Source organism: Homo sapiens, chromosome 19 (genome assembly GCF_000001405.40).
Source record: "Homo sapiens chromosome 19, GRCh38.p14 Primary Assembly".
Classification (NCBI taxonomy): domain Eukaryota; kingdom Metazoa; phylum Chordata; class Mammalia; order Primates; family Hominidae; genus Homo; species Homo sapiens.
Genome location: NC_000019.10, coordinates 34,428,686 through 34,452,256, shown reverse-complemented (window position 1 = coordinate 34,452,256; position 23,571 = coordinate 34,428,686). Strand labels below are relative to the sequence as shown.

General features: G+C 41.9%; 1 protein-coding gene across 7 annotated transcripts in view, besides 2 other annotated features; it reads right to left on the bottom strand.

The window, feature by feature from the left end:
* The window catches only part of UBA2 (ubiquitin like modifier activating enzyme 2), a 42,871-nt gene that overhangs the window by 18,995 nt on the left and 305 nt on the right, over nucleotides 1-23,571 (bottom strand). For 3 of the 7 annotated variants that reach the window (NM_005499.3, XM_024451305.2, XM_047438020.1), the window contains exons 2-10: nucleotides 21,598-21,681; nucleotides 20,326-20,396; nucleotides 18,845-18,909; nucleotides 17,289-17,389; nucleotides 13,491-13,612; nucleotides 8,346-8,413; nucleotides 7,136-7,257; nucleotides 1,893-1,992; nucleotides 110-276 (exon numbers count right to left, since the gene is read on the bottom strand). In NM_005499.3, coding sequence (NP_005490.1) covers nucleotides 110-276; nucleotides 1,893-1,992; nucleotides 7,136-7,257; nucleotides 8,346-8,413; nucleotides 13,491-13,612; nucleotides 17,289-17,389; nucleotides 18,845-18,909; nucleotides 20,326-20,396; nucleotides 21,598-21,681 — 900 coding nt within the window. Of the gene's footprint in view, nucleotides 1-109; nucleotides 277-1,892; nucleotides 1,993-7,135; nucleotides 7,258-8,345; nucleotides 8,414-13,490; nucleotides 13,613-17,288; nucleotides 17,390-18,844; nucleotides 18,910-20,325; nucleotides 20,397-21,597; nucleotides 21,682-22,070; nucleotides 22,165-23,571 lie in introns of all 7 variants that reach the window. The other 4 variants (NM_001411139.1, XM_011526304.3, XM_006722962.3 and 1 more) reach the window with 2 other exon arrangements.
* Nucleotides 14,439-14,596: a silencer, noted in NCBI's record as "fragment chr19:34928566-34928723 (GRCh37/hg19 assembly coordinates)". NCBI's record gives its function as "represses an EF-1alpha promoter that drives an FKBP-Casp9 reporter gene in an ReSE screen in HepG2 liver carcinoma cells {active_cell/tissue: HepG2}" and the evidence as "EXISTENCE:reporter gene assay evidence [ECO:0000049][PMID:32094911]".
* Nucleotides 23,379-23,538: a silencer, noted in NCBI's record as "silent region_10504". NCBI's record gives its function as "represses an Ori minimal core promoter by ATAC-STARR-seq in GM12878 lymphoblastoid cells {active_cell/tissue: GM12878}" and the evidence as "EXISTENCE:reporter gene assay evidence [ECO:0000049][PMID:35858748]".

Genomic DNA, 23,571 nt, shown 5'->3' with positions numbered 1-23,571 from the left:
TTCCTCAAAATCTAGTAAATATTCAAAAAATGACTAGCTTCTATTACATCTCAAGAACTAAAACACACTTTTGACATGTAAGTACTTGCCACACATTGTCAAAACGAACCTTATCCCATATGAGCTCAGCTCCATCCCCCTTTTCTGCTAAATGAACTCTCAAAGTCTCGATGCTCTTTGAAAAAAGACGTGCATAGCTCTTTACATCTAGAACCTGCTGGTCTTTCAGGCCTAACTGGGGTTCATTCTGTTGATCTGATGCATTCGTTTCTTCTCCTAAAGAAAAAAATATATATATTAGAAATTTCACTAATTAACATCATTCCTCTACTGTGCTCTGTTTAACAAGTTCAATCCCCGACCATTAAGAAATCAAATATGAAATAAATTCCATTAAAATAATTATCATGGGGCCAGGCACGGTGGCTCACGCCTGTAATCCCAGCACTTTGGGAGGCCGAGGCAGACGGATCATGAGGTCAGGAGATCGAGACCATCCTGGCTAACATGGTGAAACCCCGTCTCTACTAAAAATACAAAAAATATGCAGGCATGGTGGCGGGCGCCTGTAGTCCCAGCTACTCAGGAGGCTGAGGCAGGAGAATGGCGCGAACCCGGGAGGCGGAGCTTGCAGTGAGCCAAGATCGCGCCACTGCACTCCAGCCTGGGCGACAGAGCAAGACTCTGTCTCAAAAAAAAAAAAAAAAAAAAAAAAAAAAACTGTTAAACCTGAGATAGGAAAGGTACAAGACCACCTCAGTACCTCATAGGATTACTGGGAGATTTGAAGATATAATGTAGATAAGATGATAAATAAGCATTAGGCCCAGCACCTAGTGAGAATGAGAACTCAGTAAGCGGACACTACTAGAGTCATAATTAAATCTGTTTGATAACTATCCCTGATTGTTGAGAACTGCTCCAAAATGATATCCCAAGTCTCCCGGGATCTTTTAAGTTTCAATGGGTGCTATACTGCTGTGCATAAATTAATCCTAATACAGTTCAGATAAAGGAGAGACAAGGAGTGTTAAAGGGGAGTGGGATGAGAAAGCAGCCACTACAATAGTTTTCCTACATTTAAAATTTTAAAATATGCTGGGCACAGTTGCATACAGTCCCAGCTACTCAGGAGACTGAGGGAGGAGGATGGCTTGAGCCCAGGAGTCCAGGGATGCCTTGTGCTATGACAGCCTGTGAACAGCCACTGCACTCTAATCTGGGCAACATAGCAAGACTATGCCTCAAAAAACTTTTCATTTCTAAACATTAAAAAAATTTTACATTAAAAATGTGTTTCTAGATTAAATCTTAAAGAGATAATCACAAGGGTACAAAGGTGTACATAAATAGGCTAGGCGCAGTGGCTCACACCTGTTATCCCAGCTACTCGGGAGGCTGAGGCGGGAGAATCGCTTGAACCCAGGTTGCGGTGAGCTGAGATCGTGCCACTGCGCTCCAGCCTTGGCAACAGAGCGAGACACGGTCTCAAAAAAAAAAAAAAAAAAAAAAAAGATATACATAAATATATAGCAATTTCAAAACTTTATTTCAGGGAAAATACAAAAACACTACATGTTAATAAGAGACTAGTTAACTATACTGACTGACAAAAGCAAGTGAGAGTTTATCAATAGTATGATTCCATTTACGCAGTGTATAACGAATGCCTGCATCTGTGTACATAGGGCGGACCACCAGAACACTCCTGAAAATGTTATTAGTGGCTATTTCTGAAGTGTGGGACTTCAGTGACTTTTGTTCTTCATATTTTTTTGCACTGTTTGAATATATGAAGACATATCATTTTCAAGCAACAACAGGGCTATACAAAGACTTTACGCGAGGATATTTCCAGCTTAGGTGTTCCAAGACTAAAATGTATTCTTTACCTTGACTTTGTACTTCAGCCCAGTCCAACGGAACTGGAGGTTTCCTTTTCCGCCATAGTTTGTCCATTGTCAACAGATACCTGATGTCATCTTTAAAAAGCTTACAAAAGAAAGACAGATCCCATGAACCCCATAATCCCTAATTGATAAGATACAAGAAAACGTCATTGCTGATCTATATTACACTATGAAATCTGATTTAAAGATACATGTCATATACCAGCAGCATAACAATTTTCAAAAGGAAAAACATTTGTAAAAGGAAGTTCTAACAGAATCTCTACATTGAAAACAGCGAAATGCAGAAGTGCTCTGAGGAATGCAGAGTAAAGGAGCCCTGAACTGCCGACTGCCCCTGCCTTCCTAAGTCACCTCTCCAAAAGCTTCCCTAAATTTAGCTCCAAAGATCAGTCTGAAGCACAATCATACAAATAAATGTACATTATGTAGTTGTAAATAAATGTACAACTACAGACAATCACTGAGCCTAGGGATGCCAGTCAGCAATGCCTCCAAGCTCATGGGGACATGCACACAAAGTATACAGATTTTTAAACTAAAGTGCTTCACAACAGAACTTCTGAACTGCGATATCTTTAAAATGTGCCCTCCCCTCCAAAAATAACCCACAGAAACATGAACAAAAATAAAATGTAAAAACCCCCACACAATTATTACAAAAACAAAAACATTACAAGTAGATTGAGAAACTATCATATGAAAAGATGTGTTAGAACTTCAAGTGATTTTAATATTTTTTTCTTTTTCCTTATCTGCATTTTCTATTGTTGATTAATTTATTCAACACATTTATTGCTGGTACCAGGTAAGAACAGAAATTTGGCTATATTTAAAAATCACAGCCATTTCTATCAAAATATACTTAATCCATCAATACTAACTGAGCATCCTTAATCTTTATAGAGAATAAGCCAAACATACAAATAATCAGAATACAATTTAGTGTGAATATCACAAAGCCTTGAGTAAGGATTTCTGGCCAGGCGTGGTGGCTCACACCTGTAATCCAGCACTTTGGGAGACCAAGGTAGGTGGATCACGAAGTCAAGAGATCGAGACCATCCTGGCCAACATGGTGAAACCCCATCTCTACTAAAAATACAAAAATCAGCTGGGCGTCGTGGCGCGTGCCTGTAATCCCAGCTACTCGGGAGGCTGAGGCAGGAGAATCGCTTGAACCTGGGAGGCGGAGAGTGCAGTCAGCTGAGATCGCACCACTGCACTCCAGCCTGGCAACAGAGTGAGACTCAGTCTCAAAAAAAAAAAAAAAAAAAAAAAGATTTATATTTTATCTAAGAAATAAGGAAAGAGTCTCCTTATGACAGCAACATGTGAAATGGGTACAAAGGCAAGGAGATGAATCCACTATGACTTGGGTAACAAATGTGGCTGGAAACATTTTGTAGAGGATCTTGAAGGCTTGAACCAACAGTTTTCTAAGCCTAAGCTCCATCTCTTCTATTCAACTATTACTAAATATCAGGAGCCCCTCAGATTTCTGTACTGAACCATCTTTTCATTCTGTCCTCTGTGGTGTATCATGTCCATTTCCAGTAGTTAACCACATCTATAAACCTAGGAATCCCAACCATATCCCTAGTTGAAACCTCTCTACTTATCTACAAAACCACTTCTCTAATGTTCCAAAAGAATCTCAAATGAGTTCAAAATTGATTATTATCACCTTCTCCTACCCTCCCCCAACCCCTCTACACACATCTGCCTCCCAGCTCACTTATATCGGAGAACAGCACCTCTGTTCTTTGACCTGCCCAGGCTGAAGTGCAGTGGTGTGACCATAGCTCACTGAAGTCTCAACCTCTTGGGCTCAAGTGATATTCCTGTCCCAGCCTCCTGAGTAGCTGGGGACCGCAGGCTCAGGCCACCATGGCTGGCTATTTTTTTTTCGTTTTTAGAGATGGGGTCTTGCTATATTGCCCAGGCTGGTCTTGTGCTCCTGGCCTCAAGTGATCCTCCCGCCTCAGCCTTCCAAAGTGCTAGGATTACAAGTGTAAGCCACAGTGCCCAGCCAGGTACCATTTTTTATTCCACTGATCTTCACCATATACATGCAAAGTCCTGTTTAGTCTACTCCTCCATGTTCCAGTGGGAGTACAGATGGCTGTACTCCAGATTATTCTGGCACTGCACAACTCCAGGGGCACTGTCCCAGATTGGTTATAATATGAATATCAGATCCTAGGGTAGTATGTGCATCCCCTCTATCCCCTTATAGTGATCCTGTAAGACCACCTTTCAATGGATTCCCACTGTCTTGCTATAACATCCTTAAGAAGGCCTAGAAAGTCTGCCTGATCTGACCTCAACTTCTCTCTCCAGTCATCTTTTTCCACTCTCCCCCTTAATGGGATTTATGTCAGTTTTCCAACTGAGAGTTTCCTTGTACATACTGTACCCTATTCAGAGTTTCCTTGTACATACTGTACCCTATTCTGACTCTTATTCTTTCAAGCCTTGGGCTTAAATGTCACCTGCTCTAGAAAGCCTCTTCTGAAGCCTCTCCCTAACAACATCTGAAATGGGTATGCAGGCCAGGAGATGAGTCCTTTAGATGAAACTTATTATTCAAGGGCTGCAAAGCATCTGAACTTAATGTCATTAAGACTCTGAAGCTGAAATTTATTGTTCAAAGTTTGACTTCTCATCTAGACTGTGAACTCCCTCTAAAGAGCAAGGACTCTGTCTTCTGTCTTGTTCACAACTAAATCCCCTGTACTTAAAGAGGTGTCTGGCACACAGCAGATGTTTAAAATTATCTGCTAAATAACAGATTGGAGATGCACTTCAGATTTTTCTGGCTTTCAAGTCTTGCTCAGATTGGAATGGAAATAAGGATACTGGTTTGGAAGATACTGCTGTTGACCATATCGAAGTTTACGGCATCTTAAGTATAATCAAAATAAAAACCATTATGATGCTTAATACTGAGTGTCAACTTGATTGGATTGAAAGATGCAAAGTACTGGTCTTGGGTGTGTGTGTGAGGGTGTTGCCAAAAGACATTAATATTTGAGTCAGTGGACTGGGAAAAGCAAACCCTCTCTTAATCTGGGTGGGCACCATCTAATCAGCTGCCATTGAGGCCAGAATATACAGCAGCCAGAAAAACATGAAAAGACTAGACTGGCCTAGCCTCCCAGCCTACATCTTTCTCCCATGTTGGATGCTTCCTGCCCTCAAACATCAGACTCCAAATTCTCCAGTTTTGAGACTCAGACTGGCTCTCCTTGCTCCTCAGCTTGCAGATGGGCCTATTGTTGGGCCTTGTGATCGTGTGAATTAATACTCTATCAACTCCCCTTTGTATATATCTATCCTATTAGCTCTGTCCCTCTAGAGAACCCTAATACAACCATGTTTTAGAAAAGGGCTGTAGTGAGGAAATAAATGCAATAGGGATAAGAAAGTCAACCTGTGGGCTGGGCACGACGGCTCATGCCTGTAATCCCAGCACTTTGGGAGGCCGAGGCAGGCAGATCACCTGAGGTAGGAGTTCGAGACCAGCCTGGCCAATATGGTGAAACCCCCTATCTACTAAAAATACAAAAATTAGCCAGGCATAGTGGCGGACCTGTAATCCCAGCTACTCAGGAGGCTGAGGCAGGAGAATAGCCTGAACCAGGAGGCAGAGGTTGCAGCAAGCTGAGATCATGCCACTGCACTCTAGCCTGGGCGACAGAGCAGGATTCTCTCTCAAAAAAAAAAAAAAAGAAAGAAAAAAAAAAGTCAACATGTGACATCTGTTACCACTGAGGAAATAAGACGAAATACAAGCTGGGGAGAGCAGTATGTCATTTGATTAAGACAGCAGAACCTGTGCGTGTTGGAAAGCAGACAAAAGAAACCAAGAAAAAAAAGATCCGAGACACAGGACAGAGACGAAAATCCTGTCTGAAGAATGGTACAAAAGGAAAGCAAAACACCACATGCAAAAGTTAGCCTTTACCGAAAGTGGATTCTCTCCAGCAGAAAGAAAAAGAGTTTTCGGTTATGTGGAACAGTCTCTCAACAGGTAAATTATGTCCAATGGTTTCAAACCTGTTATTATATCCTTAAGGTCATCTGCTTAGTGAGAGTTGCAAGAATACTGAGGCAGTTTGATAAGAGCTGAGAAAGTTTTAAGCTCTGTGATAAACTTGCTAGGGGCTAGGCTCAGTGGTTCATGCCTGTAATCCCAGCACTTAGGGAGGCAGAGGCTGGAGGATCGCTTGAACCCAGGAGTTTGAGACTTGAAACCAGGAGTTTGAGATCTGCCTGGGCAACATGGTGAGACCCCATTCTCCACAAAAAGGAAAAAAAGAGTCAAAAAAACCCCACACACGTACAACTTGCTAGGGAGTCAAGACAGAACAAAAAAACTTTTAAAACACGGACCTACGGGTCTAGATGAACAATAATTAGGTAGACCCAATAAAAACAATTTCACAGATTTCTCTAGAAATATTTAACAGGCAAATAGTATATACTACTGATGAAGAGGGATTTCACCAAGAAAAAGGGGCTTATGGGGTTCAAGGGCAATTTAGGACACATGTCAGTCAAACTGCTAATAGCAGATATGAGCAAGAAATAAAAGTGAACATGAAGCCAGGAGCAGTGGCTCACGCCTATAATCCCATCACTTTGGGAAGCCAAGGTGGGCAGATCACTTGCAGTCAGGAGTTCATGACCTACCTGGCCAACATGGTGAGACCCCGCTTCTACTAAAAATACAAAATTAGCCAGGCCTGATGGTACACACCTGTAATCCCAGCTACTCGGAAGGCTGAGGCAGGAGAATCACTTGAACCCAGGAGGCGGGGCTGCAGTGAGCCGAGATCGTGCCACTGCACTCCAGCCTGGGCGACAAGAGTGAGACTCCATCTCAAAAAAAAAAAAAAAAAAAAAGTGAAGATGAGAAGCAGCAGGAAAACGAAGAAGTTCTGTAAAAAGTGAGAGAAGGAAAGACAACCAAGAAGGTATACAAGCCACCTCTCATTTTACCTCCTATTTAGATGTTATACTGATAGATTTAGTGTAGATGGTAACATTTTAAAACTTGCATATCCTGACTGCATCAATCATTTTATTAGGACATCACAAGGCATATACATAGAAGCTTAATTCAATTTTATGGACTATTTTAAAACAAGCAGAACTAGAACAATACATCTATGCACAACAATACATCTATCCATGATTATAAAAAAAGTAAATCTAACCTTGGTAAAAAGTTTAACTGGATCATATCCAGTTGATTTAGCCCATTCCTTAGTAGAAATACGTTTAATGTCACCATCTTCATTAGATGCTCTAGCTCTGGCTTCGGCTTCCGTTGGTTCCCCTATAAAACGATCATTATTTTATTTTCAACCGTAATAAATGTAGAACTGAACTCTTTTCACTCACCTTTGGGAATAAAAAGAAAGTCACTCATGGAAATCCCCAAATGCAACACATTCTGAGTTCAAGGAATAAGAAAATAACACATTCATCAGCATCTTTTTGTATCCCAGTTTCTTTCTTTCTTGTTTTTGGAGACAAAGTCTCACTCTGTTGCCCAGGCTGGAGTGCAGTGTTAAGATCTCGGCTCACTGTAGCTTCTACCTCTTGGGCTCAAGCCATCTTCCCGTCTCAACCTCACAAGTAGTTGGGACTACAGGTATGCACCACCATGCCTGGCTAATTTTTATATTTTTTGTAGAGACAGGGTTTTGCCATGTTGGCCAGGCTGGTCTCAAACTCCTGACCTCATGCAATCCAGCTGCTTCAGCCTCCCAAAATGCTGGGACTACGGGCGTGAGCCACCTTGCCTGGCCTGTTGTAACTTAGTTTCTGAAAGCTACACATATAACAGTTCAAAGCACAGACCAGTCATGAGATCTAGGAACAACTCGCAGCTCTATTTACTAGACTTGTGAAATTTCTCTTAACCTTGATTTCCTCATCAGTAAAACGGAATCATATTTTTTTTGTAAAACATTGTTTTGGATAGGCACGGTTGCTTACGCCTGTCCCAGCACTTTGGGAGGCCAAGGCGGGTGGATCACCTCAGGTCAAGAGTTCGAGACCAGCCTGGCTAACATGGTGAAACCCTGTCTCTACTAAATATACAAAAATTAGCTGGGCGCGGTGGCAGGTGCCTGTAATCCCAGCTACTCAGGAGCCTGAGGCAGGAGAATCATTTGAACCCAGAAGGCGGAGGTTGCAGTGAGCCGAGATTATACCATTGTACTCCAGCCTGGGCAATAAGAGAGAAACTCCACCTCTGAGACAAAAAAAAAAAAAAAAAAAAAAAACAAAAAAAAAACACATGTTAAACACACATTACCTAGCACATATAGCAATTTTTTTCCCTTAAGCTACCAAAATTAAATCAACAAAATAAAGATAATAGTATCTGATAAAACATATGCCAAATAATTTACTCACAGGCAGCTTCAGGGTCAGCTCTGTCAGGAGATACTTCTTGATCAGCATCTTCTTCCCCAAACAACTGGCTATAATTTAAGAATAGTAAATACTTCTGTATAACAAAGCATTCTAAACAAACATGTAATTTAGAATATTCCAAATATTTAGCAGAGATAAAGACTGAACAACTGGCTGGGCGCAGTGGCTCACACCTTTAATCCCAACATTTTGGGAGGCTGAGGCAGGCAGATCACAAAGTCAGGAGTTCGAGACCAGCCTGACCAACATGGTGAAACCTCGTCTCTACCAAAAATATAAAAATTAGCCAGGCGTGGTAGCGCACGCCTGTAATCCCAGCTACTCGGGAAGCTGAGGCAGGAGAATCGCTTGAACCCAGGAGATGGAGGTTGCAGTGAGCCGAGACTGCACAACTGCACTCCGGCCTGGGCAACAGAGCAAGACTCCGTCTCAAAAAAAAAAAAAAAAAAGTGAATAACGGATAAATGACTATAAACTTAAAAGTTTAACACAATGTGCTTGGACAGCTTGCATCCCAATTTCAACAGCAATGTAAGCAAGGTTAAATTTTAGCAGACCTACATCCATTCCTATCAGCGAGGCTCTGCACATTTCAATGTTAAAACCTCTGCTCAAGAAACAGGTGAGTGGTTTTCACTTACAACCTGGATAACATTCTAACACCAGAATAATGTTTGTGTTTACACCTGCAGCTACCTGTTCAACAAACATTATTATATACCTCAGGTGCAGAGTCCCCATCTAGGGGATAGAAATTCAGCAATGAACAAGATTAACTTTTTTTCATGGTAGAATGGCTCTTTACTGCTGAACAGAGTGTTAACAAACAATTTGAAAGTATTAAGCTGAGATTCTCTTTTATTAATAAAGTTATCCTAAAAACTGTTTAATAACTCATGGATATAAAAGTTTCCAGTATTTCCTCAAGTATATGATTAATGAAAGTTATCTTACAGAAATCCTTTGTACAACCCCCCACCCAACTATAATTTCAAAGCTCTGATAGTCACTCCCAACAATGGCATGTTAACACTTCCTAAAATTAACGCTTTGCCAACTAGTGAGTGCAAAATAGTAGACAGCCGCTAATTTAAAATGGTCCACCAATGATTTTTCACCTTTACAACAGGTTTATTGAGGTTATATTAAAATGCATTTTTGGCTGGGCGTGGTGGCTCACATGTGTAATCCCAACACTTTGGGAGGCCGAGGCGGGTGGATCAACCGAAGTCAGGAGTTTGAGACCAGCCTGGCCAACAAGGTGAAACCCTGTATCTACTAAAATACAAATATTAGCTGGGCGTGGTGGCAGACGCCTGTAATCCCAGCCACTCGAGAGGCTGAGCAGGAGAATCGCTTGAACCCAGGAGGCAGAGATTGCAGTTGCACTGCACTCCAGCCTGGGCAACAAGAGCGAAACTCCATCTCAAAAAAACAACAACAAAAAAAGCATCATTTTTTACTTAATGGTATTTTTTATTTATGATGAGTTTATCGGGAAGTATCTGAGAAGCATCTGTAGCTTACTATGGTCTTATACTTAATTTTCCAAGTAAGTCTTATGATTAAAACATAACTTGCTTATTGCTTATTTAGGTTTCCCTTCGAGTGAAAAATGCTGCTCATATTAATTTTGCCAGATTATCTTTTTTGTGTGTGTGACAGGGTCTTACTGTCCCCAAGGCTAGTGTGCAGTGGTGTGATCACAGCTCACTGCAGCCTCGACCTCCTAGGCTCAAGTGATCCTCTCACCTCAGCCTCCCAAGTAGCTGGGACCACAGGCATGTGCCACCATGCCTTGCTAATTTTTAAATTTTTTGTAGTGATGGGGTTTCACTATGTTGCCCACACTGCTCTCAAACTGCTGGGCTCAAGCAATCCTCCTGCCTTGGCCTCCTAAAGAGCCGGGATTACAGGTGTGTGTCACTGCACCTGGCCACATTATCTTTTTTTTTTTTTTGTCTTTTTCTGAGACACAGTCTCGCTCTGTCCCCCAGGTTGGAGTGCAGTAGCATGATCTCCATTCACTTCAACCTCCGCCTCCCAGGTTCAAGCGGCTCTCATGGCTCAGCCTCCCGAGTAGGTGGGACTACAGGCGTGTGCCACCACACCCCACTAATTTTTGTATTTTTAGTAGAGACAGGGTTTCGCCATGTTGCCCAGGCAGTTCTCAAACTCCTGGCCTCAAGTGATTCACCCACCTCAGCCTCCCAAAGAAAAAAAATGTTTGCCAAATAAATAAAGCTTCCAAGTGTAGTTTTTGTGAACATTTATCAAGTTGACACTGTTATGTATACTTTTCTGAGTGCAAAAATTAAAGACAATGTTTGCTGAAGGTTTCTACAAAATACCCTTTATCGGGTTGAGAACATTCTCATTTTAGTAAGAAGTTTTTTTATTTTTAATTTTATCTATTTATTTATTTTTTATTTTTTTGAGACGGAGTATCGCTCTGTCGCCCAGGCTGGAGTGCAGTGGTGCAATCTCAGCTCACTGCAACCTCCGCCTCCCGGGTTCACGCCATTCTCCTGCCTCAGCCTCCTGAGCAGCTGGGACTACAGGCACCCACCACCACATCCGGCTAATTTTTTTTATTTGTAGTAGAGATGGGGTTTCACCGTGTTAGCCAGGATGGTCTCGATCTCCTGACCTCGTGATCCGCTCGCCTCAGCCTCCCAAAGTGCTGGGATTACAGGCGTGAGCCACCTCGCCCGGCCTAGTAAGTTTTTATTCTGTTTTAGTAGAAACTTTCATCATGAAAGGCCATTTGCTAAATTTTACCAAATGCTTTCTCTGTATCTATGAAAACTATATAGTTTATCTTTAATTTCCTAATGAGTGAATGACATTTACAGATTTTCTAGTTTAAACCATGCTTGTATTCCTGAATAGACACGTGGTCAAGACACACTTTTTATTTTATATGATTCTAGATCCATATGGTAATTTTTTTTTTTTTTTTTTTGAGATGGAGTCTTGCTCTGTTGCCCAGGCTGGAGCGCAGCAGAGCGATCTCGGCTCACTGCAGCCTCCACCTCCCGGGTTCAAGCAATTCTCCTGCCTCAGCCTCCCAAGTAGCTGGGATTATAGGCGCCCACCACCATGTCCGGCTAATTTTGTATTTTTAATAGAGACAGGATTTCGCCATATTGGCCAAGTTGGTCTTGAACTCCTGACCTCAGGTGATCCACCCGCTTCAGCTTCCAAGTGCTGAGATTACAGGCATGATACACTGCGCCCATTCCCAGGATATGCTAATATTTTACATAGGATTTTTGCATCTATTATTTAGGTGTGAGACTGACTAGCAATTGTTTCTTATGCCATAATGGCCTTGACAGGTTTTGCTATCAAAGACATTGCTAGCCTAATAACACAAGCTAAGTAGTATTCCCTTTTAAAAATTTCTCAGGGAGAGTTTAGCTAATATTACAATATACTCCTTGCAAGTTTTGTGAAATGAATCTGTAAAAATAACATAGGTTCGGTGCATTATTTAGAATAATTTAAACTACTTACATTGCTCTAAGGTATACTGCTAAATTCAGGCATTCTATTTTCCTTTCATTTTTTTTTTTTTTTTGAAACATCATCTCATGCTGTCCCCCAGGCTGGAGTGCAGTGGCCCAATCTCCACCCACTGGGTTCAAGTGATTCTCATGGCTCAGTCTCCCAAGTAGCTGGGACTACAGATGCCCACCACCACGCCTGGTTAATTTTTGTATTTATAGTAGAGACGGGGTTTCGCCATGTTGGCCAGGCTGTTCTCAAACTCCTGGCCTCAAGTGACCCACCCACCTCAGCCTCCCAAAGTGCTGGGATTGCAGGCCTGAGCCACCGCACTGGGCACTTAGTAAGTTTTTAAAAATGTATTTACCCAGATCATTTAAATTTTTTATGTACTACCATGGTCTTATTATCATCCCTTTTTTTTCTTATAGCCTATTTAATCTCTGCTATCTGTATTCCCCGTTTAGTTCTCACTTACTCCTCTTCTATTTTGTAATCAAATGTGCTCTTACTTCAATTAATATCCTTCCTTCTCATTCTTTTTTTCTTTCTTTCTTCATTTTAAGACAGGATCTCACTATCACCCAGGCTGGAGTGCAGTGGCACTATCTCGGTTCACTGCAGCCTCAACCTCCCAGGCTCAACTGATCCTCCTACCTCGGCCTCCCAAGTAGCTGGGAGTACAGGTACACCTGGCTCATTTTTCTATTTTTTGTAGAGACACGGTTTTGCCATGTTTCCCAGGCTGGTCTCAAACTCCTGGGCTCAAGGGATCCTCCCATCTCACCCTCCCACAGTGCTGGGATTAGAGGCATGAGCCACCATGCCCACACCATTCTCATTTCTTAAAGTGTATTCTGTGGTTCATTTTCTAACTTAAATTGGATTCTTAGTAAAGATTTAGTAATTAATGTTCAGCCTTTCTTCATGTATGTAAATCTGTAACTTTTTGCCAACCACCACATTCAATACATTCTGGTATAGCATTTTCATCATTATCAGTACAGAGTATTTTTAACTTCCATTGTGATTTCTTTTATAACCAATGGGTTATTTGTAAGTAAATGTTCACATTTCCAAATATAAAGATTTTTATCGCTTAGTTACATGGCTGTCTCCAATATAAGACTAAGTTTCCTGAACAGTCATGGCCACATTTTTTTTTTTTTTTTTTGAGACAAATTCTCACTCTGTTGCCAAGCTGGAGTGCAGTGGCGCGATCTCGGCTCACTCCAACCTCCACCTCCTGGGTTCAAGCAATTCTCTTGCCTCAGCCTCCCGAGTAGCTGGGATTACAGGCACTCGCCATCACGGCCAACTAATTTTTGTATTTTTAGTAGAGATGTGTTTCACCATGCTGGCCACGCTGGTCTCAAACTCCTGCGCTCAGGTGATCCGACCACCTCAGTTTCCCAAAGTGCCGGGATTACAGGTGTGAGCCACCGCACCCGGCCAGCTACATTTAACCTAAGAAATACTGCAAGAAAGCTACTAAAGCATCCCTTCACCATATTTAAACATCCTGAGTTCAATCTCTTCAAGGTAATTAAATAAAAATGACTCCATTTTCCATCATCAGTACCGAAAAGCATGCCAAGAAATATACACTCTTACTTGAACAAGTACTTTGCCCAAACGATGCAATGTATAGGTTCTGAAGGTGTGTTACGAATTGTACAGCCAGGAAAGGTTCTCTGGGTCGGCTTAGGATGACACTCATAACACTCGGTCACACCCTATGAAGTCAGGATATGAGAAAAATTTACTCCATGATGGCAGTTTCTCAACATTATAAGGTAATATAAACACTTCATTCATCTATATTCCAACTACGTTTTACGTTGTCAAGGAAATTTTAAAATATTAGTGACTCCAAAATGCTTACTTTATGATAAACTAACACAAAAGCTAACTGAATCTACCAGTCATAGCTAAGGCTGTGCCAGGACGCCGACTCCTGGTTCAGTGAACATGACTTACAAGCCCAAATAAAAATTACTACACCTGAGTGTCAAATATGAGTTTACCTTGATCACACTAAACAGAAAAACTACTGGAAAGACAAACAGCAGCTTTCCAAGAAATTATTTCTCAAAGTTGTAAATGTTATCTAAATATTATTCGCAGCCATTTTCTTATATGTGTTTTTTTTTTTTTTTTGAGCAAAACTAAGTGGGTCTGGGGAATACAGCCATATCCTTATAATCTCCTGAAATTAAGTAAACTACAAGATTAATTTCAAGATATATCTCCCTACACAGAAAAATCTTAGGTGTTACTAAACCAAATACTCTTCATTTTATTGATATACGTTTCTTTTTGGCGGTGGGGAGACGGAGTCTTGCTCTGTCACCCTGGCTGGAGTACAGTGGCATAATCTTGGCTGCAATCTCCGCCTCCCAGGTTCAAGCAATTCTCCTGCCTCAGGCTCCCAAAGAGCTGGGATTACAGGCATCTCCCACCACTCCCAGCTAATTTTCATATTTTTAGTAGAGACGGGGTTTTTCCATGTTGGCCAGCTTGGTCTTGAACTCCTGACTTCATGTGATTCGCCCGCCTTGGCTTCCCAAAAGTGCTGGGATTACAGGCGTGAGCCACTGCGCCCAGCCCATTTTATTGATACACATTCAAGTTTAAAATTACAATTTAAGGAATTTATGCCTTGGAAGAAGTACATGACACCTGAGACAACTTTTCAAAACTATCAAATGAATCATCTTTCATTATCTCAGATATTCCTAACCTCAGTCTCTTCTTTTTTTCTTTTTGTCTGAGACGGAATTTCGCTCGTTGCCCAGGTTGGAGTGCAATGGCGTGATCTAGGCTCACCACAACCTCTGCCTCCCGGGTTCAAGTGATTCTTTTGCCTCAGCCTCCCAAGTAGCTGGGATTACAGGTGCGTGCCACCACACCCAGCTAAATTTTGTATTTTTAGTAGAGATGGGGTTTCACCATGTTGGCCAGGCTGGTCTCGAACTCCTTACCTCAGGTGATCCGCCCGCCTTGGCCTCCCAAAGTGCTGGGATTACAGGCGTAAGCCACCATGCCCAGCCACCTTCAGTCTTAATACACAGTGGTGTGTCAGAATCACAGTAACAAGGATATAAAAAGCAATGTCTGGCCGGGCGTGGTGGCTCATACCTGTAATCCCAGCACTTTGGGAGGCCAAGGCAGGCGGATCACCTGAGGTCAGGAGTTTGAGACCAGCCTGGCTAACATGGCAAAACCTCATCTCTACCAAAAATGCAAAAATTAGCCAGGCTAATTGTTCAAGAATCAAAACTCTCAAATACTGTTTTAATATAAATTGCAGCAGATTTAGAGTTTTCTCTGAAACACCATTTCTGATGCCCTCAGCCTTCCAATATGCTTTCTTGAGGGTAGCCACATGGCAAGCAGTCATGAGACTCATACTGCAATGCAGACAGAGAACTTCCGTCTTGATCTGTCAACAGATACTGAAGGCCTCCACTTATTCAACAACTTAATACGCACTGACATACACAACAGTCTTTTGTAGAATGGTATTCAATAAGGTTCCAAGAATAACATTTAACAGTTAAAAGAAACAAAGACACAATTTCTAACATGAATAAGCTGCCAAAAAAAATTAGACGCAACCAGCAAATGTTAAGTACATTATAATTCTCTTTCTATAGTTTCAAAACATGGAAAACGACTCTTCAAATGTAACTACAATATTTAACTTCTTAAAAGAACTGAAAGAAAAAATATCTGAATAGCAAATGAAGCCGTGTTGAGGTTTTAAAAACTGAGATATGTGCCAGGCATGGCGGCTCACACCTATAATCCCAGCACTTTGGGAGGCCGAGGCAGGTGGATCACCTGAGGTCAGGAGTTGAAGACCAGCCTGACCAACATAGAGAAACCCCGTCTCTACTAAAAATACAAAATTAGCCAGGCGTGGTGGCGCACGCCTGTAATCCCAGCTACTCGGGAGACTGAGGCAGGAGAATCGCTTGAACCAGGGAGACGGAGGTTGCGGCGAGCTGAGATCGCGCCACTGCACTGCAGCCTGGGCAACAAGAGCGAAATTCTGTCTCAAAAAAATAAACAAATAAATAAATAAACCAAAACAAAACTGAGGTATGAGCACACAGGTATTTTGTTCTATTATTCTCTAGTTGTATTTAAATGTTTGAAGTACTTCACAAATACACCCCTAAAAAGTTTTCAAAGTTCCCTTCCACATTATAAGCCCAGACTCTTAGACAACAGAATTTTTTGGTTTTTTTTTTTTTGAGACAGAGTTTCGCTCGTTGCCCAGGCTGGAGTGCAATGGCGTGATCTCAGCTCACCGCAACCTCCGCTTCCCCGGTTCAAGGGATTCTCCTGCCTCAGCCTCCCAAGTAGCTGGGATTACAGGTGCACACCACCACGCCCGCTGATTTTTGTATTTTTAGTAGAGACAGGGTTTCACCATGTTGGACAGGCTGGTCTCAAAATCCTGACCTCAGGTGATCCGCTCGCTTCGGGTTCCCAAAAAGTGCTGGGATTACAGGCATGAGCCATCACGCCTGGCTTTTTTTTTTTGAGATGGAGTCTCACTCTGTTGCCCAGGCTGGAGTGTGGTGCCATCTTGGCTCACTGTAACCTCCACCTCCGAGGTTCAAGCAATTCTCATGCTTCAGTCTCCCAACTAGCTGGGATTACAGGTACACGCCTCCACACCCAGCTAATTTTTGTATTTTTTGTAGAGACGTGGTTTCACTACATTGGAGAGGCTGGTCTCGAACTCCTGACCTCAAGTCATCTGCCTACCTCAGCCTCCCAAAGTGCTGGGATTACAGGCATGAGCCACTGCACGCAGCCGACACAAAGAAATTTTTGATGCCTGGTATATCATGCTTACCACTCTAAGGATTTTAATACAAAAGTCAAATGAAACAAAATGGCAGAGCTGAAAGATTTCCTTGCCCATAGTCTTTTGAGCACGTTTATAGCATTTTAAGTTTGTTTTTTGAGACAGAGGCTTGATCTGTAGCCCAGGCTGGAGGGCAGTGGTGCAATCTCAGCTTACTGCAACCTCTGCCTCTCAGGTTCAAGTGATTCGCCTGGCTCAGCCTCCCAAGTAGCTGGGATTACAGGCGCCGGCCACCATGTCCAGCTAATTTTTGTATTTTTAGTAGAGATGGGGTTTCACCATGCTTGCCAGGCTGGTCTCAAACTCCTGACCTCAGGTGATCCGCCCACCTCGGCCTCCCGAAGTGCTGGGATTACAGGTATGAGCCACTGCACCTGGCCCCGCATTTTAAGTTTTATATAAGCATAAAAGTCCTTACATTTTGGATGTTCACCTGTTCATTTTATATAAATACAAAGTTTATTTCCTCCTGCTCCAAGGTCTCAAATAAATATTTGGGAAGTTAAAAAAATAAAACTTTTCTTTACCTTTTTGATAGTAGTTACTTGTCCAAGATACCCAGCTGTTCCACTTTCAATAAGAGGAACATCAGCTGCCAGGCACATTCTATTAACATGGTTTCGGGCAGCTGGAAGTAAAACAAACAGTATGAGTTTTTGGGAAAAAAAAAATTAGTTATCTTTAATTAGGATGACACAGACTCAAAACTATCTTACTGGCTTCATTTTTTGTACAATTTTCTTATAGCTATGGCCAGAATAATACAACTGTTAATTACAGACATTTAAGAGACATTCACTTAGCAAAATATCAAATAGAATTTATATCACAAATTTACTCCAGGAGAAGTACCCACAGAAACACATAATCTTAAAAATCCAACGTGCCATATTTCTCTTCTATTGCTGTACCTTACACAAAACACTGTTTCAAGGTGTTCCTAAACTCACCACTATTCTAATATAACTAGCAGATAATACATGATAGAAATGAAGGCAGAATGTGGAATATCAACTTGGAACTATTAAAGTAGTTTAAGGCTAGGGAAAAAAGATGAGTCAGGTTAAGAGAGTAATTTCACGCCAGGAGCACTGGCTCATGCCCATAATCTCAGCATTCTGGGAGGCTGAGGTGGGAGGACTGCTTGAAGCCAGGAGTTCGAGGCCAGCCTGGGCAACAAAGCAAGACTTCATCCCTACAAAAATAAACATAAAAAAATTAGCCGGGTATGGTGGTACCTGTCTGCAGAGTAGCTACTGCAGAGGTTGAGGTAAGAGTATCACCTGAGCCCATTTGAAGGCTTCAGTGAGTTATGATCACACCAGTGCACTCTAGTCTGGGCAACAGTGAGACCCCCCAAGCCTTAAAAAATAAACGTAATTTTGACTTTTCCTTGTGTTTTTTATTTAGATATTTCTGGCCCAACTTGTTGTAAACTCACTTAGTAGATATACTTTTACATGTGGAAGTAATTACAGACAAAGAATATCACTCAAGCATCCCCCACCCCACCCTCCAGTCACACTTTTTCTTTTTTTGAGACAGGGTCGCACTCTGTCACCAAGGCTGGAGTGTAGTGGTGTGATCTAGGCTCACTGCAACCTCTGCCTCCTGGCTTCAAGCGATTCTCCCACCTCAGCCTCCGGAGAAGCTGGGACTACAGGCACATGCCACCACACCGGCTAATTTTTGTGTTTTTTGGTAGAGACGGTTTCACCATGTTGACTAGGTTGGTCTCGAACTCCTGACCTCAAGTGATCCTCCTGCCTTGGTCTCTCAAAGTGCTGGGATTACAGGCGTGAGCCACTGTGCTGAGCCACAGTCACACTTTTTGAGAGCTTTTCACTTCACTTCTATTTATACCTTTTGGTAGAAATGCAGAGAATATGATAGCTAAATTCCCGCCTGGAATAAGTCATTTCTATATAAAACTGCAATCAATGGGCATGCTTTAAACTCGATCATTTCTCTTAAGTCTTTTAAGTTCTAAATCACAATAGTCTAATAAATATTAAATTTGTAAACAAATTTGATATGGGAGAGAGGAAATACTGAGAAATTAAAAGTATTAAAATAACCTCACCTCTGTTATCTAAAGCATTCATAACCAGTATAAACTGTCGGAAAAATTCCACATTATAGTCAGGGCTACAAAACAAAATAAAAAAAGGTCACCAAAATAACTAGCCTTCCACATGATCTTTGCAGTATAATAAACAGTTCTGAAAAAAACATAGTAACTGTAAACAAAACTGATATCAGGATTATATGTCATATAGATAGTAAGGTTTGACTCTTTCCAAACATAAGCAGATTTTAAAGAAATTATTTCCTTCAAATTCCTATCCTTTTTGGCCAGCTAGGGCACAAGAGAAAGATCTCAAACTGGCAGAAAGATGGCATGACTTCACTAGTCCCACTAGGCCTTCTTTGGGCAGCAAGTGCCTGGGAACGCATAAAGAACACATTCCCAGGATCTGCCTGGCCTCTGACTTCACCTCACATGATCAGGATCAGGCAGGGTTCAGGCCCCTAGGGTCTCTGTTTTTAGCAGCACTGGGAAAGCAACACAGGGTAAGGAGGTTATAGGGCTACAGGCAGGTTCACAGAGTAAAAAACTAAAAAACAAGCCGGAGATACAGGCCGGGTGCAGTGGCTCACGCCTGTAATCCCTGCACTTTGGGAGGCCAAGGCGGGTGGATCACCTGAGGTCGGGAGTTTGAGACCAGCCTGGCCAACATGATGAAACCCCGCCTACTAAAATACAAAAATTAGCTGAGTGTGGTGGCGTGCGCCTGTAATCCCAACTACTCAGGAGGCTGAGACAGGAGAATCGCTTGAACCCAGGAGGCGGAGGTTGCAGTGAGCCAAGATCATGCCACTGTACTCCAGCCTGGGCAATAAGCGCAAAACCCTATCTCACACACAAAAAAAACACAATCCGGAGATACAAATGCCCTGAGAAAGTGTTAAGTACCTCAATTCCAGTACCTCAAACAAGGACTATTTTTAACACTATTTACTTGCAAGCTAAACCACCATAGATAAAGGACAATTTCGGCCCACAGTTCCTTTGCTCCAACTCCTCCAAAATTATATATTTACTCTATCTTTACTGAGATAAATATATTTATGTACTGTCAATACTACTGCCCTACCACAATTCCAAGTGTTATATTACAGAAGTCAGAGTCATACTACAGATTATTTTGGGAGGGAAACTTTTAAACAAAAAAAGGCAAACACTTTAGAAAAGTCTGAATCATCATAAATAAGGATATTTCATAGTTTAAAATATCTTCTTACTTAAGGCAAGCATATAAGGTCTTTATAAATTTCCAAGTAACTTATTTATTAAAAGTATTAAACTATCTCACCATTCTAAATCATTCAAACCATGTATTTATGAACTGGTAAAAAGAATGCCACTCTGTAAGCAGAAACCACCACTGTTTAATAATTCTAGAAAAATCATTTTTTTTAAAAAAGCTGAATGACTTTGAGCTTATATATTTGGCTTACAAAACCCTTATACAACTTTGCAATGTAATCACTATAGCATACTTCATGATGCTGTCATGGTAGGCAACGATATTAGCTTTCGGGTAAAACTGCAGTACACTTTCCTTGGCAACCTGGAAAAATAAACAACACTGAATTACTACAATATTTCTGTTCCTATCTGAAATCTGCTTCTGGAAGCCACAATGCTGTTATCTACTTACATAGTACCTTATTTATATTAAACACCAAAGAAGTCCAAAAATGTGAGAAAATTGCATTAGGGTTAAGCTACACTTATAAAATTATACTTTTATACTTATAAAATAACCGGAGAGCCCCCCCTGACCCACGTACCACCAAACACACTTCTACATGAATGGCAAGCTTCAGCAAAAATACAACATGAAGTAACCAAGTGTCATTCATTCATTCACTTAACAAGTATTTACTGAGCATCTTGCATGTACCAGGAACTATACAACGTACATGTCAAGCAAGAGAGACATTAATCAAATAACAATCCAGATTAAGTTCAACTACAGACTCTGATAAATGCCATGAGAATGACAGGAAAAGGCCAGGCATGGTGGCTCATGCCTGTAATCCCAGCACTTGGGAGGCCAGTGTAGGAGGATCCCTTGAGGCCAGGAGTTCTAGGCTGCAGTAAGCCATGACCGCATCACTCCACTCCAGCCTGGGGCGACAGAGTGAGACCCTATCTCTAAAAAAAAAAAAAAAAAAAAAAAAGAAAAGAAAATGATAGGAAAAGTAAAGTAAAGGTTGTTATGAGAGAAAAACCAACCTGACTTAGTCTAAAAGGTTTAGGAAAGTACTCCTGGAGGAGGAAGCCAAAATATGAAAGAAAAAGAGAAACAAGTGGGGGTTTGCCAAACAGGTTGGGAGACAGGCAAAGGGAAAAGATGTTTTAAGACTCTGAATCACCAAGGAACACTAAAAAAACTAAACAAAGATCGGGGGAACTGTCTTGTTTCAACTAGGACAGCAGCATAACGCTCCTCTAGCCCCCAAACATAGCAGTAGTCAACCTCTAGGGGGTGTAGGAACACAAGGTGCATCCTAAGCAAAGCATCAGAAACTTAAATATAAAGAGGCCATGAAAGTTACACCATCACGGGATTATTTCCTTTTTAGAACAAAAAAGGAGGGCTTAATCTTTAGTCCTTTACTTGATATATCTTTATCCTTCACAATCTCTCAGCTGAAATGAGAGCTTCACCCATTTTTTCCCTCCTATATGACAGGCAGGATTAATCTGGTATCACAAATAGAAGCTCCATCAAGTTATAGAAATGGTATGAGAAATATAGTTACCTGTGCCTTTGATCTTCCAACATGTTTCTTTTGAAACAAAAACTGTCTGTTGAGGTTGCTTACATCAATAGTATCCAGATCAATCTACAAATGCATAAACCCCAGATAAATGACAAACGTTTACGTATGTTTGAGCTGTATCACTACTCTCAGCACCTGTAATCCAGAACTTTTGATATCTGCTACATTAGTGGAGAAAGCGTTTTTCGAATCGCCATACCAAAATTGTTAAACTGATAAAGAATAATTTAATGCATGTAAGAATCTAGATTTAATGTCAGAGATAAACTTCTCAAAAATACTTTGAAAGAATGGTATATTTTGTTTGTTTAATCATCCTGGAAAATATTTCAGGAAACTCCCTGGATGCCATAAAAATATGTGAATTCATTAAAACTATATGTGCTGTCGAGGTAAACACTAACTGAAAATATATTAACATATTTCTCTACACCGGGAGTGGTGGCTCATACCTGTAATCCCAACACTTTGGGAGGACAAAGTGAGAGAATCGCTTGAGCCCAGACCTTCAAGACCAGCCTAAGCAAAATAGTGAGACCCTGGTGGCTACAAGAAATAGAAAAAATAAAATTAGGTGGCACATGCCTGTAGTCACAGCTACTCGGGAGGCTGAGGTGGAGGATCACTGGAGCCTGGGAGGCGGAGGTTGCAGTGAGCCGAGATCGGGCCACTGCACTCTAGCCAGGGTGACAGGGCCAGACCCTGTCTCAAAAAATACTAAAGTATTTCTCTTTCAATCGAATTACTCTTTCAAGTACAAAATATTAAATTTAACTATGCCCTGTTCTTTTTCTTTGTTTTTTGAGACAGGGTCTCCCTCTGTTGCCCAGGCTGGAGTGCAGTGGTGCAAACACAGCTCACTGCAGCCTCGACCTCCCAGGCTCAAGCGATCCTCCTGACACAGCCTCCCGGGTAGCTGGGACCACAGGCGCACACCACCACGCCCCGCTAATTTTCTTTTTTTGTAGAGACGGGGTTTCTCTATGTTGCCCAGGTTCTGTTCTTTTTCTTAAATGATACATGGCAAACGTTTATTGAATTTTTGCTGCCTCCCTTAATTCAAGCCTTCATCCATACACAATTTCATTTACTATTAACCTGAGAACTGTGAAAGGAAACTTTTACACATGGTTAAAAAAGTATCATGTTTTAAGTTTTATCTAATTTTTGCTTAAATATATAATACATAAAGGAAAGAAACAATGACTCAGTCGGCCACCCGTACTTTTTTGTTCATTCCATGTTTCCACTAGCCCTTAAGACACTTTAAACTCACACCGAAGGGCCAGTAACATCTCCAATCTCTAAAAAGTTTGCATTAGTAGAAATAACGATTCAAAATAGCACTGGCTTGTCAACGTACACCAATGCAAAAGGCACAGTCCTAACGTCTTTAATGAAACAAGCGAGTGTACCGTCTACTGTGAGAGCAATGACAGTCACGCAGCCTGCGGGAGCCCTGCCACTCGCTCCGTGACCCAGGGTAAGTTACTCAACCCCATTGCGTCTCCCTTTCCTCATCTGTTAAAAATAAAGCAGGGTGGAAATAGCGTTTGCACTCCTCGGGTGGTATGAAGATGGTGCGCGTTCCGTGTGTAAACCCGCTCGTGACCAGCGCTCGGGACGCGTTGGTCGCTATCATTGCCATCCTCCGCCCCGCGTCGTTACTTCGGAGTTACGACAGGGACCTCAAAATTAAAGTCACAACATCCGCGAGGGACTCAATCCTCTCCCGCATCTCCTAACAGCCGGGAATTTGTTTTGAAGGGAGGATAAGAGGCGGCTTCACGCCCACGAAGCGCCACACATTGGCGCTGCCGGGGAGGCGGGGGCCCGCGGCCTCCTCGGCGTCCGGAGCCGGCCCAGCGAGCGGAGGCCCGCCCCGTGCCCAAAGAACAGTCTCCTCCCGCGGGGGGGGCACAACCCGAGCCTCTCAGCCTGCCCCCGCTCCGC